This window comes from Homo sapiens, chromosome 1 (assembly GCF_000001405.40).
Source record: "Homo sapiens chromosome 1, GRCh38.p14 Primary Assembly".
NCBI lineage: Eukaryota > Metazoa > Chordata > Mammalia > Primates > Hominidae > Homo > Homo sapiens.
In genome coordinates, this window is record NC_000001.11 from 202,504,745 (window position 1) to 202,519,028 (window position 14,284).

Consider the following 14,284-nt stretch of genomic DNA (forward strand, 5'->3'; position numbering starts at 1 on the left):
GGAGCTAGACTCCCTGCATTTAACCCCAGCTTAACCATTTAACTACTTTGGATAGGTTATTTAACCTTTGTATGCCTCAGTTTCCTCATCTGTAAAGTAGGGATAATAATAGTCTACCTCTTAGAGTTGTGAAATGAAAATGAGCTAATACATTTAAATAGAGATGATTACAATCCATTTAAATTATTTTCCAAATCTACAAGTTCCTACATCTGGATGAGAGTAAGGCTTTCGGAATACTTTTATTGGCCTTAGGATCACATGATTTTGAAGTTATTAATTTATCCTTAAAGAATGGATTATTTGGAGAGTCACAGAAGTAGCCCCAAATCTTCTATAACTCCAACATGTGTTCTGACACATAACTGAAGAATTTTGAGGAATAAGGTTTAAAGGAGATTGCTGAAGTAGGGGGAAAGAAATGAGTAGAAAGGAAAGGAACAAGAACTAAATGTTTCAAATTGTGTTTGGAACCTGTTAAGCATCTGATCAAGTCAAGTCCCTGCAGCTTCTCTGTCAAGCAAGCAGGCTTTCATTTTTATGCCTAAATAACCCATCCCATTTATGCTTCTTTGCCAGTGCTTCCAACAGTCCTAGTTTCAGAGATCTTTACTATTTTTTCCCACCTTCTTCCTTTGAGTAAATAGCAGCCCTTTTTCTCCAATTTTTCACAGCGTTGCTTCTGGCTATTTGCTGGATCCTTTCTCTCGAGCAGAATTTTTTAATCTTGTGAAACCACTTTATCTGCTGGAGGGTATCCAGCAACTTTCTGTCCACTCTCCACCACCAGTCAGTATTTTTGCCATTCTCCTTTTAGGTAAAATCCTAAGTCTGTTTTGTTTTCCTCTCTCTCTGGGGCTCGATTGCCTAATATGGTAAGGTATTTCCCAGACAAGATTGCGCTGTGGAGTTAGAACAACAGTTTGTCTAAGTTTAAAGACATGGTAGGTGAGCTATCTAATAGTTATTTATGTAGTAAAGTAATATTTTTTTTTGCAGTATATTACATAACAACCAAAATCTATTTTTTAAGCAAGCCTCTGTTGCTTTTAACAGACTTAAAGAGATAATAAAATATAGATTTTTCTCCTCTTAACCTGTTTAGGCAGATTTTTTTTTTTAAAAGGGAAAGATAGCTCGTCCCCAGAATGAAAGGGTTTTGAAAAGTCTGAGAAATTTGATAACATGATAATGTTCATAAGGATATAAAAGTAAGGGTAAACTTGATAAGCAATGGCTGTTATAAACAGTCCTGTGGTAGCCAGCCTCTGGGAATTGGCAGGCATTCCACGTGTAGAAAAGCAAGCTGTCCTGGATTTCTGCAATTGATGACGATGCGCAGTCCCAGGGAAAAAGATAGAGACTGAGAAATGGCAGCCAACCAACTCTGTATGTGGGAAGCTGCCTGTTATCCAGCATGCACTGAGGAATCTTCTCTAGTGGTTGACTCCACATTGGCCTCGAAGGATCTTTCCTCTCACTGTACATTTGCTCTTGCTTTGCAACTATAGTTTCTTAAAATACTGCAGATGCTGTGATTTTCTATATATGGGTTGTGTCTTGCTGTAGCCCAAGCTGTATAAACCATCTTAAGAACAAAGTTTCTTTTGGCATCTTCCTTTTATGGACTCTATTAATTTTAGGTCGTGCTGTTGCCCAGGAAATCTCAGTAATCAAAGCTCACATGTATTCCTTTGAGACCCTGTAATTTTTGGACCTAGTGTCCCATTACATCAGTGAATTCTGCTTTAATCATAAATCTTTTTTAAGATAGAATAAATTGATCTTTGAGGTATCTGTTTGGACTTCTCTCATGCATCTCATCCAAAGATGTGAAAGGTTTATCCAGCTACTAAGGATAGTATAGTTAACTTCTTGACCTTTTCTTTTTTTGATTTCTTCTTCTGCCTCCAATTGCTTTCAAGATATTAGTTTGTGTTAGTGACTTGTGACCTTATGTCTTTTTATTATAGGAACAGAGATGAGCTTAAAACTCTGCTGGAGCTTTTTAAAAAAAATGTTTATAAAAGATAGTAAATTTCATTAAAGAAAATTCATGAAGTATAGAAAAATATAAAGTGGTAGCTCTCAAAAGCAGCAGGAGAATTGCTAAAGGAGTTTGTAAAAATTCATAGGGCTACTTTCAGGGAATACAGCGATGGGGGATGTTCTGCATGCATTAAGTGGAAAGGGTGAGAGATGCTAGATATCCTAAAATGCCCCATATCAAACAAGTATCCTGAAGCTTGCTTGACTTTTGACTGTCTCCCTTGACAGTCATAGATGAAAACCTATCAGTTATCTGAGTCTAAAACCAAACTTGATTTTATGTTTAAGCTCATTTTTGAGGGGCAGTGGGGAGGAAGACAGTTCTAAAAATTCAACCACCATGTAAATGAGGAGAAACTGCTCTTAGTTTTATTTATCCCTGACAGCAATGCCACTTACATAATGCGTACATCATGCTACACGTTCTGTAGATCTGCATTTAACCTCTGCCTTCATGGTAACTATATGATGCATCCAAATCTCTGACTGCTTCTTTATGCCTTCTACTTTACTGGCCCAAGCATTAACACATTAAAATACATATTTTATTATAAAGTGCTTTGCTCTTTATTTCTTCTTCATATTCTGTTATTTTTAAAATGATTTTAGTTTTATATCAGTGATTTTTATTTCAGGATAGTAAGGGGGTGTTAAAAATATTTGTTATGAAAAGGGATTGTTTCAGCTATGAAAGCTAAGAAAAAATTGTCCATAACCATCCATAACTATACTTTTCAGAAGAAATTATTAACATTCTAGTGAATTTCCTGCTGGTATTTTTCCAAAGTTTTTCTTTTTAAAAAACGTATTCAAAACCAACTAATGACATTCTTTAGAAAAGGATCATTGTCAACTTGAGCATTCCTGGGACACCATCATTACTATGATGACAATTTTATAAGGTTGTCTTCAAAGCACTTGGGTTCAACTCTTTTATCAAAGTAGTCCTATGATGGCGTTGATCATAGACAGCCCCAGGAATAATTGTTTCTCTTTCAGTTGGAGTCTAAGAGTTACCTCGGTTACAGAAGTATTCATTTCTCCTGTTGATAGCATGGCTGGAGAGCCTTAACCATGGCTTAGGCTTAGCTAATGTTAGAGTTCTAGCCCCATGATTGAGGTAGAAAGCTTGATGTGGGATTTGAAGTCCTTTTTCAGCAAATGGAATGTTTATAGATTTGCCCCAGCAGGAATGTTGAGCTTAAGGCACTAACAGACGTTACCTTTAGAAGTGTTATTTTGGTAGAATCTCAAAGGTAGGATAGTAGGACTACCTATCCCAAGCTGTAAAGCTTCCTGTATAAAGCTTGTAAAAATGTAAAGATGAATGGCCACCACCTCCCAATTTTAACTTTTCTCCATACTGTCTCAGTCTTCAGTAAAGCAAGTTCAAGGATCAGATAGCAGCCATTTAGTGACATGAATCTCTTCGTAGAGAAACCATAGTTTTGTAACCTAGTATGATCCTTTAAGGTACATAAATGTTCACACAGATGTGCCTTCATAGAATATGTACTTTTAAGAAACTCTTAACTTTTTTATAGTTTAAATTTTTAAAAATGTTTTATTACAACCTGAACTCTTACACCTTAAACTATGTCAGTATTATTGGCTACCAAGAGGAAAGCAGGGAAGTTTTAAAAATCCATTGGCAAATTAATACCTAGCATAATACATAATACAAGTACTTATTATGGTCTTGGAGCTTATAGCTCTTGTTATGTTTCTGAAAAATTTTTTCAGGAAACAGAAGCATTTTAAAGGCAAACAACATGTTTGAGTATTATGTCACCAAATAAAACATTGTATACTTTAAGATGGCATTTTAGGAGTTGGAGGACTTTCAAAAGTGATATGCCAAATGGGCGAAACATGGGGCTGTTTATGGTGACTGAATGCTGTATTTCTCATTTCTCGAAATGTCTGGTATAGCTACTACTTGCTGGCTGTTGTGAAGAGTCAACACTCTGCCTTTCTGAGGCTGATAGGGAAAGCAGATGTTTATACCTATTCTCCGGCAGAACATGTTGGTGGTGGGACAGTGGTAGCAGCCTCACTTCATCTTTGGCACGTGATGCTCTAGGTCCGCAAACTTTTTATGAAAAGGGCCTGATAGTAAATATTTTCCACTTTACTGGCCACGTAATCTGTTGCAATGACTGAACTCCACTGTTGTAATGGGAAAGCAGCCACAGACAATATGTAACTAAATGGGAGTGACTATGTTCCAATAAAACTTTATTTACAAAAGCAGGCCGGTGGACTGGATTTGGCCTGCAGGCCACGCTGCAGTTTGCTGGCCTCTGCTCTAGGTTACTGATAGAAAAAGTATTTGCTAATGTCAACATAACTCCAAATGTCAATTTTCTCTCATCCAAGCACTTCTCTGATAACTCAGCATTGTGCCAATTCCCGATTCTTTGTTATCAGCAACAGTTTGTTGGGGAACATCATGTGTTTAGAGGGATAAATGTTGTTTGGGGCAGCATTAATGAGTTTTGGTCATGCAGCAGGAAGCAAGCTGTAAAACTTCCTGAATGAGAAAGTGAAGGAGAGAGGGGGAGTTGCTTCCATGTCATTTTAAATATAGTCTCTCTGTTATGTTTTAGTTCATTACCTTTTGAGGAGAAAGTCTGAAATGGTTCTCCTAGCGTGTCCCTATCTGTTTTTCTCATCTGATCCTATTCCTTCTTACTTCCCAAGGACCAGTCTTTGAGGTTAGCTAAGATTATAGTTGGGAATATATAATCACTTAATACTTGAAATTTAGCTTTTGTAGATTATGACCGTAAGTAAATTTGCCTTTAAGGCTCACAGGTTCTTGGAAGAGTGCCTGTCAGAAGATTGTTAGTTGCTGTCATTCACTTTAATTGCTTGTTGTCATTTGAATTCCTTAATTAGGAGTAGATTATGGAATTTACTAGTCTTTTTGCCTTGTCAACGCTTAGTCTACTGAATATGTGCAGGAAAAACATTTTGGGGATTTGTGGAGGGGATGACAGAAATCTTCAAAGTGATGACCCTGTGCTTGCTTGAAATGATAGTTAGGAGGGATGGATGTGGGGGAAGAGAAGCTGAAATCCTGATTCTTCAACAATTTTAAGGAAAAAAGTGATGAAAACTGACATTAATATGTCACAGTAAAGACTCATATAAGGTGTGGGAATTGAGCATGGGATGGCATAATTAATTTTGTGCCAAATAAACAAAATCAGATCCTTTCTTGAGAATAAATGTTCACACAGATGTGCCTTTATAGAATATGTACTTTTAAAAAACTCCATATATGACATGTTGTATGAGAAGGCCTCTCTTAGATCACTGGTGACCTCTAGTACTTTGGACTAAAACTAATGAAATATTATTTAGGCAGTTTATGTATCATTTCTGGAGTTCTTGACTTAGAGCTAAGGGCGTGTGTAGATACTGATATCCAGCAAGCTGAGCCATTTTCAACTATAATAACCTAATGGGTAAAGCTTCTATAGTAGTCTCCTTCAAACCTGTCAGTAGCAATCACTGGGGTTATTTGTTTACAATGTAGGTTTTTAGACCTCTCCCCTTGAGATTCTGGATAAGGAGGTGACATGGTGGTAGCGGGTGGAAGTCCTGGAAATCTATATTGTAAAGGTCTTCCAAAGTGTTTCTTAACAGGCAAGTCTGATGGATAGTGTTCCTAGAGGTATAATGTTTAGGGATTGCTAACATCCCAGGTAGGCCAATCATTAAAGAGTAGGATTAACTGTAGCACACTAAAGAAGCTTAGAGCCAACCTCTACTCCTTTCTGTCCTCCCGAAATACACATTTAACCCAGAGTACCAAATTCTCAAAGACCCTCTAGGACAATTGAGTCCCATTTGGGATGTCTTTTGCTCTCATGCAGCATGTGTTTATTCAGTCAACATATATTTATTGATGAGCCATTATATGTCAGGCACTATGCATTAGAGATGCAAAAATGTACAAGGTAGACAAAATTCCTGACCTCATAATACTCACATTTTATTTATTTATTTTTGATATGTATTATAGATATTGGAGTTATCCAATACAAGTTTTATTCAGGCAAGTATATATATATTATATATTATATATTTATACTAATATAATATATAATATAATAATATTTATACTATTTATTAATTTATAATATAATTTATATGTATTAATTTATAATACATATAAATTATATCCAAATTTATACAATAATTTAAAATATAATTTATTAATATAAATATAACAATTATATCATAATATAATAATATATAATATATATTATATATATTAGCAGAGTCTTTTAAAGTTTATTTCAATAATTTTGGGGAACAAGTGGTTTTTTGGTTACATGAATAAATTCTTTGATGGCGATTTCTGAGAGATTTTGGTGCACTCATCATGCAAGCAGTGTACACTGTACCCACTATGTAGTTTTTTTTTTTTGAGACAGAGTCTCCTTCTGTCGCCCAGGCTGGAGTGCAGTGGCGCAATCTCAGCTCACTGCAATCTCCGCCTCCCGGGTTCAAGCGATTCTCCTGCCTCAGCCTCCTGAGTAGCTGGGACTACAGATGCCCGCCACCATGCCCGGCTAATTTTTTTGTATTTTTAGTAGAGATGGGGTTTCACCGTCTTAGCCATGCTGGTCTCGATCTCCTGACCTCATGATCCACCTGCCTCAGCCTCCCAAAGTGCTGGGATTACAGGTGTGAGCCACCGTGCCCGGCATATGTAGTCTTTTATCCCTCATCCCCATTCCACCCTTCCCCCTGAGTCCCCAAAGTCCATTATATCATTCTTATGCCTTTGCTTTTTCATAGCTTAGCTCCCACTTTCAAGTGAGAACATACGATATTTGGTTTTCCATTCCTGAGTTATTACACTTAGAATAATGGGCTCCAACTCCATCCAATTTGCTATGAATGTCATTATTTCATTCCTTTTTATGGTTGAGTAGTATTCCATGATGTATATATACCACAATTTTTTTTTTTTTTTTTTTTTTGAGATGGAGTTTCGCTCTTGTTGGCCAGGCTGGAGTGCAATGACATGATCTTGGCTCACTGCAACATCTACCTCCCAGGTTCAAGCAATTCTCCTGCCTCTGCCTCCTGAAATACTCACATTTTAATAGGGCAAGGGATATTTCTATTAGACATCCAAGTTGAGATGTCAAGTAGACAGTTGTCAACTAGGAATTTGGACTTTATGGGAGATATTAAAGCTGGAGAAATACAGACATGGAAGTCATTGCTTTAGTGCTGGTATTTAGAGTCAGAAGACTGGGTGAGATCACCAAAAAGCATAATTAAAGCAGAAAAGAAGTCACCTGACTAGGCTCTAGGATATTCCAGGGCTAACCCTAGAAAAGAGCAGGAATATTTCTTCCATGATACATATACAGACAGTTGTTGAATCTCTTGTTGTGAAAGTGAGATCATGCCGATCTGACTTATTGTGATACATACACACATACCCCTTTATACCTAGAGAGCAATTAGAGCCTAGGGTCCAGGTGAAAGATAATGTGCTGAGTTTCTGATGGTAGGTGTGGAGAGAATGGAACAATGTAAGAAATATGAAAACTCAGCAGGATTTGATGTTTTACTAGATGTGGATGATAAAAGCATAAAGAGCAGTCCCAAGGTATTTGGGAAGATGCATGGAATTGGCTTTGGAGCCAGAAGACCTAGGTTCAAAGCTTGTTGCATCTCTTATTAGCTGGGTGGTCTTGGAAAAGTAATTTAACCTCTCTGAGCTCTGAAAGTTCTTTAATCTGTAAAAATGAGATTATTATCCTTGTTTTGTAGGCTTGATACAAGGAACAGCAGTAATAATGTATATAAAGGGTTTAGCACAGTGCCTACATTTGGTAAATTTTTAAATAAATAAAGGCAGCTCATATGGTAGTATTTCACCAGTCTCCTCTCCTCCCATCTTTGAGCTTTCATACATGGTATTTTCATTCTCTAGAATTCTCTTCCTCTTACTTTACTGCCTCTTCCTCTCCCTACTCCACTTTTTAAAAACATATTCATGTTTTAGGTTAAGCACCACCTCCTCTAAGAAGCCTTCCTTTGACCCCCTCCCTGGACCAGACTAGGTTTCCCCTAGCACTGTGAATTTATCTTTAATATGGAGTGGTAATCATACTATGTTGTATTTGCCAACTGACTGAACTCCTTGAAGGCAGGGTCTGGAATGAGATGGAGTCTCATTCCAGTGCCCAGGCTGGAGTGCAGTGGTGCAATCTCATGTCACTGCAACCTCCACCTCTTGGGTTCAAGCAGTTCTACTGCTTCAGCCTCCCAAGTAGCTGGGATTATAGTCGTGAGCCACCATCCTTGGCTAAATTTTGTATTTTTGGTAGAGATGGTGTTTCACCATGTTGGCCAGGCTGATCTTGAACTCCTGACCTCAGGTGATCCGCCCGCCTCAGCCTCCCAAAGTGCTGGGATTACAGGCGTGAGCCACTATGCCCAGCCTGTTTCTTGTTCATTATATTTACAAGAATATCTAGTATTTAGGTATGTCTTCTGTGAATAGAGAACAATGCAATGCATGATATTCATTTTTTATTATGATGACTGCATAGATAATATGCCATTAATAAGATTGAGAATTCAGGAGGAAGAATATGTTTGGGGATGAAGATAATGATTTTGCTTTTGGACATGCTGAGTTCAAGATACCTATCAGACATAAGAAAGTAAATGTCCTATAGGCAATTAGATACATGGGTATGAAGTATAGGGAAGTTCCAGGGCTAGAGATAAAGAGTTGAAAGGTATCAGCTTGCTGATAATAGTTTTAAGCTATGAAAAATACATTTCCCAAGGTTAACTTTTAGAGCAGTGATTCCCAACTTCTTTTCTTCCCCAGAATTCTGATGGATATGAGGTACTCACTGTGTAACTGTGGTTCAATGTCTCAATGACTCTGAAGCAAAGGCAAGCAAAAGGAGCATGTTTCCCAGGGAAGGCCGATTATCAGAATGATTGTGGGGTGCTAAGGAGGGCCACTGCTATGAAAAGAGTACACAGTTTAGAACAGAGCCAGGGCACACCACTGTTTGAGATGGCAGAAGGGGAGAGGTACCTATGAAAGAGATCAACAGGGAAATGATCAGAGAAGAAGGAAAAGAGCCTGGAAAGGAGAGTTCTGCTTTTAGCTCTTGGAGGAATTGCCAACACTGCTTTACACAGTGAATACTCCCACCAATAGTGTATAAGCATTTCCTTTTTTCTGCAACCTTGCCAGCATCTGGTTTTTGTTTTGTTTTGTTTTGTTTTGTTTTTTCTTTTCTTTTCTTTTTTTAACTTTTTACTAATAGCCATTCTGACTGGTGTGAGATGGTATCTCATTGTGGTTTTGATTTGCATTTCTCTAATCATCAGTGATATTGAGCTTTTTTTCATATGCTTGTTGACTGCATGTATGTCTTCTTTTGAAAAGTCTCTGTTCCTGTCCTTTGCCCATTTTTTAATTGGGTTTTGTTTTTCTCTTGTAAATTTAAGTTTCTTATAGATGCTACATATTATACCTTTGTCAGATGCATAGTTTGCAAATATTTTCTCCTATTCTGTAGGTTGTCTGTACTCTGTTGATAGTTTCTTTTGCTGTGCAGAAGCTCATAAGTTCAATTAGATCCTACTAGTCAATTTTTGCTTTTGTTGCGATTGCTTTTGGTGTCCTCGTCATGAAATCTTTGCCCATTTCTATGTCCAGGATGGTATTGCCTAGGTTGTCTCCAGGGTTTTTATAGTTTGGGGTTTATATTTAAGTCTTTAATCCATCCTGAGTTGATTTTTGTGTATGGTGCAAGGAAGGTGTCTAGCTTCAGTCTTTTGCATATGGCTAGCCAGTTATCCCAGCACCATTTACTGAATAGGAAGTCTTTTCCCCATTGCTTGTTTTTGTCAGCTTTGTCGAAGATCAGATGGTTGTAGGTGTGCAACCTTATTTCAGGGCTCTCTATTCTATTCCATTGGTCTGTGTGCTGGGTATATACTCAGAGGAATATAAATCATTCTACCCTAAAGACACATGCATGCGAATGTTCATTGTAGCACTATTCACAATAGCAAAGACATAGAGTCAACCTAAATGCCCATCAGTGACAGACTGGATAAAGAAAATGTGGTACATATACACCATAGAATACTATGCAGCCATAAAAAAGAGTGAGATCATGTCTTTTGTGGGAACAAGGATGGAGCTGGAAGCCATTATCCTTAGCAAACTAATGCAGGAACAGAAAACCAAATACCACATGTTGTCACTTATAAGTGGAAGCTAAGTGATGAGAACTTATGAACACAAAGAAGGAAACAACAGACACTGGGGTCTACTTGAGGGAGGAGGGTAGGAGGAGGGAGAGGAGCAGAAAAGATAACTATTGGGTACTAGGCATAATACATGGGTGATTAATCTATGCAACAAACCCCTGTGACACAAGTTTACCTATGTAACAAACCTTCACATGTACCCCAGAACCTAAAATAAAAGTGTTTGTTTGTTTTTTTAAAAAAGAGTAGTATTCAACCAAACAAGGGAATGAAAACTTTCAAAGACTCAATGTGACAGAAACTTAACTTCTTATAACTCAAGCATAAAGGCTTATGTAGCTAGAAAATCTGCATATTTAGCCTGGCCTAGCTTTAGGCATAGCTAAATCTAGGAAGCTGAAACTTTCAGATCCCTGCTGCCTTCTTTGCATAGGCTTCAGAGGAAGAAAGACCTTCCCTATCCTAGTGTCCATATATCTTTTTTTTGTTTTTTGTTTTGGTTTTTGCACACAGGATCTTGCTCTGTTACTCAGGCTGGAGTGCATGGTGTGATCACGGGTCACTGCAGCCTCTACCTCCTAGGCTCAAGTGATCAGCCTCCCAAGTAGCTGAGATGATAGATGTGTGCCACCATGCCCAGCTAATTCTTTTTATTTTTTGTAGAGATGGAGTCTCACTGTGTTGCCTAGGCTGGTCTCAAACTCCTGGGCTTATGTTGTCCTCCCACCTTGGCCTTCCAAAATGTTGGGATTACAGGTGTGCACCACCACACCTGGCCTCGTAGTGTTGGTATATCCGATTGACCTTTCCTGGATCAGATGAACTTCCCTGAACCAATTTCTATAGCCAGAAATTAGATGAGATTTAGCGAGAGAGGCAGTGAAGCCTGAACCCTGAAACCAAGTTTAATTCAAGTCCCTCCTCTGCTACTTACTGTGTAACCTTGCCAAATTATATACTCCCTGTGTCTCAGTTTCCTTAACTTTAAAATAAGAGAAATCATAGTACTTATCACATAGGTCATTTCTTTAAATGAGATAATACATACAAAGTGTACAGAACAGTGTCTGGCACATAGTAAATTATCAATAAATCTTAGCCGCCATGATGATCATAATGATAACAATAGTGGTAGTGCTGGTCATAGTGATGAAGAAGAAACAAGAGCAGCAGCTACCACTTGTTATAGGGGTAGGGTTAGGAGAGGGTCAGCTACATGGAATAGATTCCCCACAGGAAATAGGGATTCTGTTATCAAAAGAAGAGAAAGAGATAAAGGGTTGGAAAGATAAATTATAGCTACCAATAGTCCTCTGTAATCACATCCAGTAGTTTGAGAGCTGAAGAGTATCTCGTAGGTTTGCCAGTAAGGAGATGTTGCTGACTTGTGAGAGCAGTTTGGTGGAGTGGGGCTGGGGAGCATGAAAGGATGATATCTTCTCTTTGTGACTCATCTGCGTATAACGATTTTGATGGATTTTCTGGGAATTAATAGTCTTTGGTTAGTAGCCATTTGCCTTGTGGGCAGAGCTCCAAGATAGTTTGCCGTTAAAAAAAAAAATCCTCATAAAGGCTTAAACAGGGTTCAAACAGATCTAATCGTCATATCATTTGGCACATTGTGGTACCTGATTCCATCTAAATTGTTTTCCCCTAACAATCCTTAGTCCACATTTCTGCTTTCTCTCCTTGTTAAGAATAGATGGCAGGTCAACATTCTTGCCTACTCCTGCAAGAGCATCTTGAAGGAATGAAAGGCAATTATACTTCTGCTGCAAAGGAGCATTTTCCACATGTTATGCTAACAGTTATGAAAATAGCTAGTTATTGGATTAGTTAGTGAGGTGTGATTGTCAGTTTTCATCAGGTTCTCATTACTGGTAATGTTGCCCAGACCTACATTTTTTCTCTGAATATGCTTCTGCCTTTTCTGTGTCTAGCTTACTTGTTTACAAAATGTTTTCAGAGAGAAAGTCTAATTCAGGGTTAACAAAGTTCTGCTAAGTCACCCCAAGATTATCTGGGCTAAAAACTTCTTAGTTTTTACAGAGTACAGTTGTGGAAAACAGCTCTTAAGAGTTTCTGGGTTAATCTAGAATGATTTCCTAAAAGAAAAGTTTTAGAAGAATTATTAAAGGAATTTTTTCCTGCCAGCTCTCCCCTCCCAAATTACAGCAGCACCCACAGACAAATATCACAAATAAAACAAAACTATATAACAGATAAATATGAAGAAAGAATGAGGAACTGAGAACTCTAGCCTCCAACTTTACCATTAATAAAAGCACATTACAGTGTTCCAGACTTGCTCTGTGAATAAGCTGTTCTCAGCTATGTATTTACGTTAGTTCCTTAAGTTCCTTCCAGAATTTATTTCCTAAAAATATTGGGGCTTTTATTGTTACTGCAACCCACAACTGACCTTTCAGGAATAAATTAGATTTAGATAGTGATTATTAGAAAGCTATTTCAAAATAGACAATTAACATGCATAAGAAAAAGTGTGTAACCTTACTGGTGTTCGAAACTATAATTAAAATTATAATGAGGTATCTTTTTTTTTTTTTGAGACAGAGTCTTGCTCTGCCACCCAGGCTGGAGTGTCATGGCGTGATCTCGGCTCACTGCAACCTCCGCCTCCCAGGTTTGAGCAGTTCTCCTGCCTCAGCCTCTCAAGTAGCTGGGATTACAGGCGACCACTATCATGCCCCTCTAATTTTGGTATTTTCGGTAGAGATGGGGTTTCATCATGTTGGCCAGGCTGGTCCTGAACTCCTGACCTCAGGTGATCTGCCTGCGTCAGCCTCCGAAAGTGCTGGGATTACAGGCGTGAGCCACTGCACCCAGCCAAAGTAACATTTTTTTACCAGTCATGATAGGCAAAGACTTTGAAAAGATAATGCCCAATTTAGCCAAGAATGTGGTGAAATGGGCCTTCCCATATTTTACTGTTGGGAATGCAAATTAGTCATTATTTTCTGAGGAGCAAATGGCTAGATTGACAAAAGTCCCAAATTGACCCAGAATAGCCCCCTATGAAAATGTATCTCTGGGAAACAGTTCTAAATATGGGAAGGAGGGGGATTTTATGCACAGAAATTGTTATCACAAGGTATGTTATATATAGGCAGCTCTGTAAATATTCATTCTACAAATACTTGAGTACCTACTATATGGAAGGCTATTAGGCACTATTGAACAAAACAGATTTAGCTCGTTTAGCTATTTATAATAGTGGAAATATTGGAAACAGCCTACTGTCCAGTATTCTGGCAGTGGTTAAGTATACTATGATTTATCCATCTAATGGAACACTATGAATCATAGTTTGCTTTACCATTCCCCACCAGCTAGCCATTTAGGGGTGTTTCCTTAAAATAGAGTGGATTATAAGGCAGCCATTTAAAAGTGAGTTACAAAGATAGTATAGTAACTTGGATAAATGCTTACAGTATAGTATTACTAAATGAAGTAGATACACAATTGTATATGTCATCTGATTACAACCATAAGGATGTAGCAGGCCCAGGTAAAGAGACCAGGGAGAAAGTGAGCAAAGTGTTAGCAGTGGTTGTATTTCTGTGATGAGACTAAATGTGACTTTTTTTCTGCTTTTCTTTATTTCCCAAATTTTCTTTAATGAGGCCTTGTTATTTGTGTAATTTTTCCCCCCTTAAATGCTTTGGTAACACACTTAGAAAAAGTTTGCATGAAAGTGAAGACTGCTCAGTGGCTATTTCGTGAACTGAGTGGGAATTTTGTCAGAGAACTTTATCCCTCTCTTTTGACTGATTGGCTATTTCAGCTCTGGTGGAAGTATGCAATAGTGGATAGAAATCTGCTGGACACTCACCCTTAATATAGTCTGTCTATACATATATAGCAGCGTTGATGCAATACACTGTGCCTCACAAATAGCAATGTAGATGATAAGATGCTTTTTGTTGTTTTT

The 14,284-nt window shown here is 37.9% G+C and overlaps 1 protein-coding gene across 15 annotated transcripts in view, besides 2 other annotated features; it reads left to right on the plus strand.

Moving 5' to 3' along the window:
- The window catches only part of PPP1R12B (protein phosphatase 1 regulatory subunit 12B), a 244,004-nt gene that overhangs the window by 156,046 nt on the left and 73,674 nt on the right, over positions 1 to 14,284 (plus strand). The window lies entirely within an intron of this gene.
- Positions 4,217 to 4,511: an enhancer, noted in NCBI's record as "tiled region #4568; HepG2 Activating non-DNase unmatched - State 23:Low, and K562 Activating DNase matched - State 5:Enh". NCBI's record gives its function as "activates a minimal TATA promoter and a strong SV40 promoter by Sharpr-MPRA in HepG2 and K562 cells {active_cell/tissue: HepG2 | K562}" and the evidence as "EXISTENCE:reporter gene assay evidence [ECO:0000049][PMID:27701403]".
- Positions 11,597 to 11,891: a silencer, noted in NCBI's record as "tiled region #13016; HepG2 Repressive non-DNase unmatched - State 23:Low". NCBI's record gives its function as "represses a minimal TATA promoter and a strong SV40 promoter by Sharpr-MPRA in HepG2 cells {active_cell/tissue: HepG2}" and the evidence as "EXISTENCE:reporter gene assay evidence [ECO:0000049][PMID:27701403]".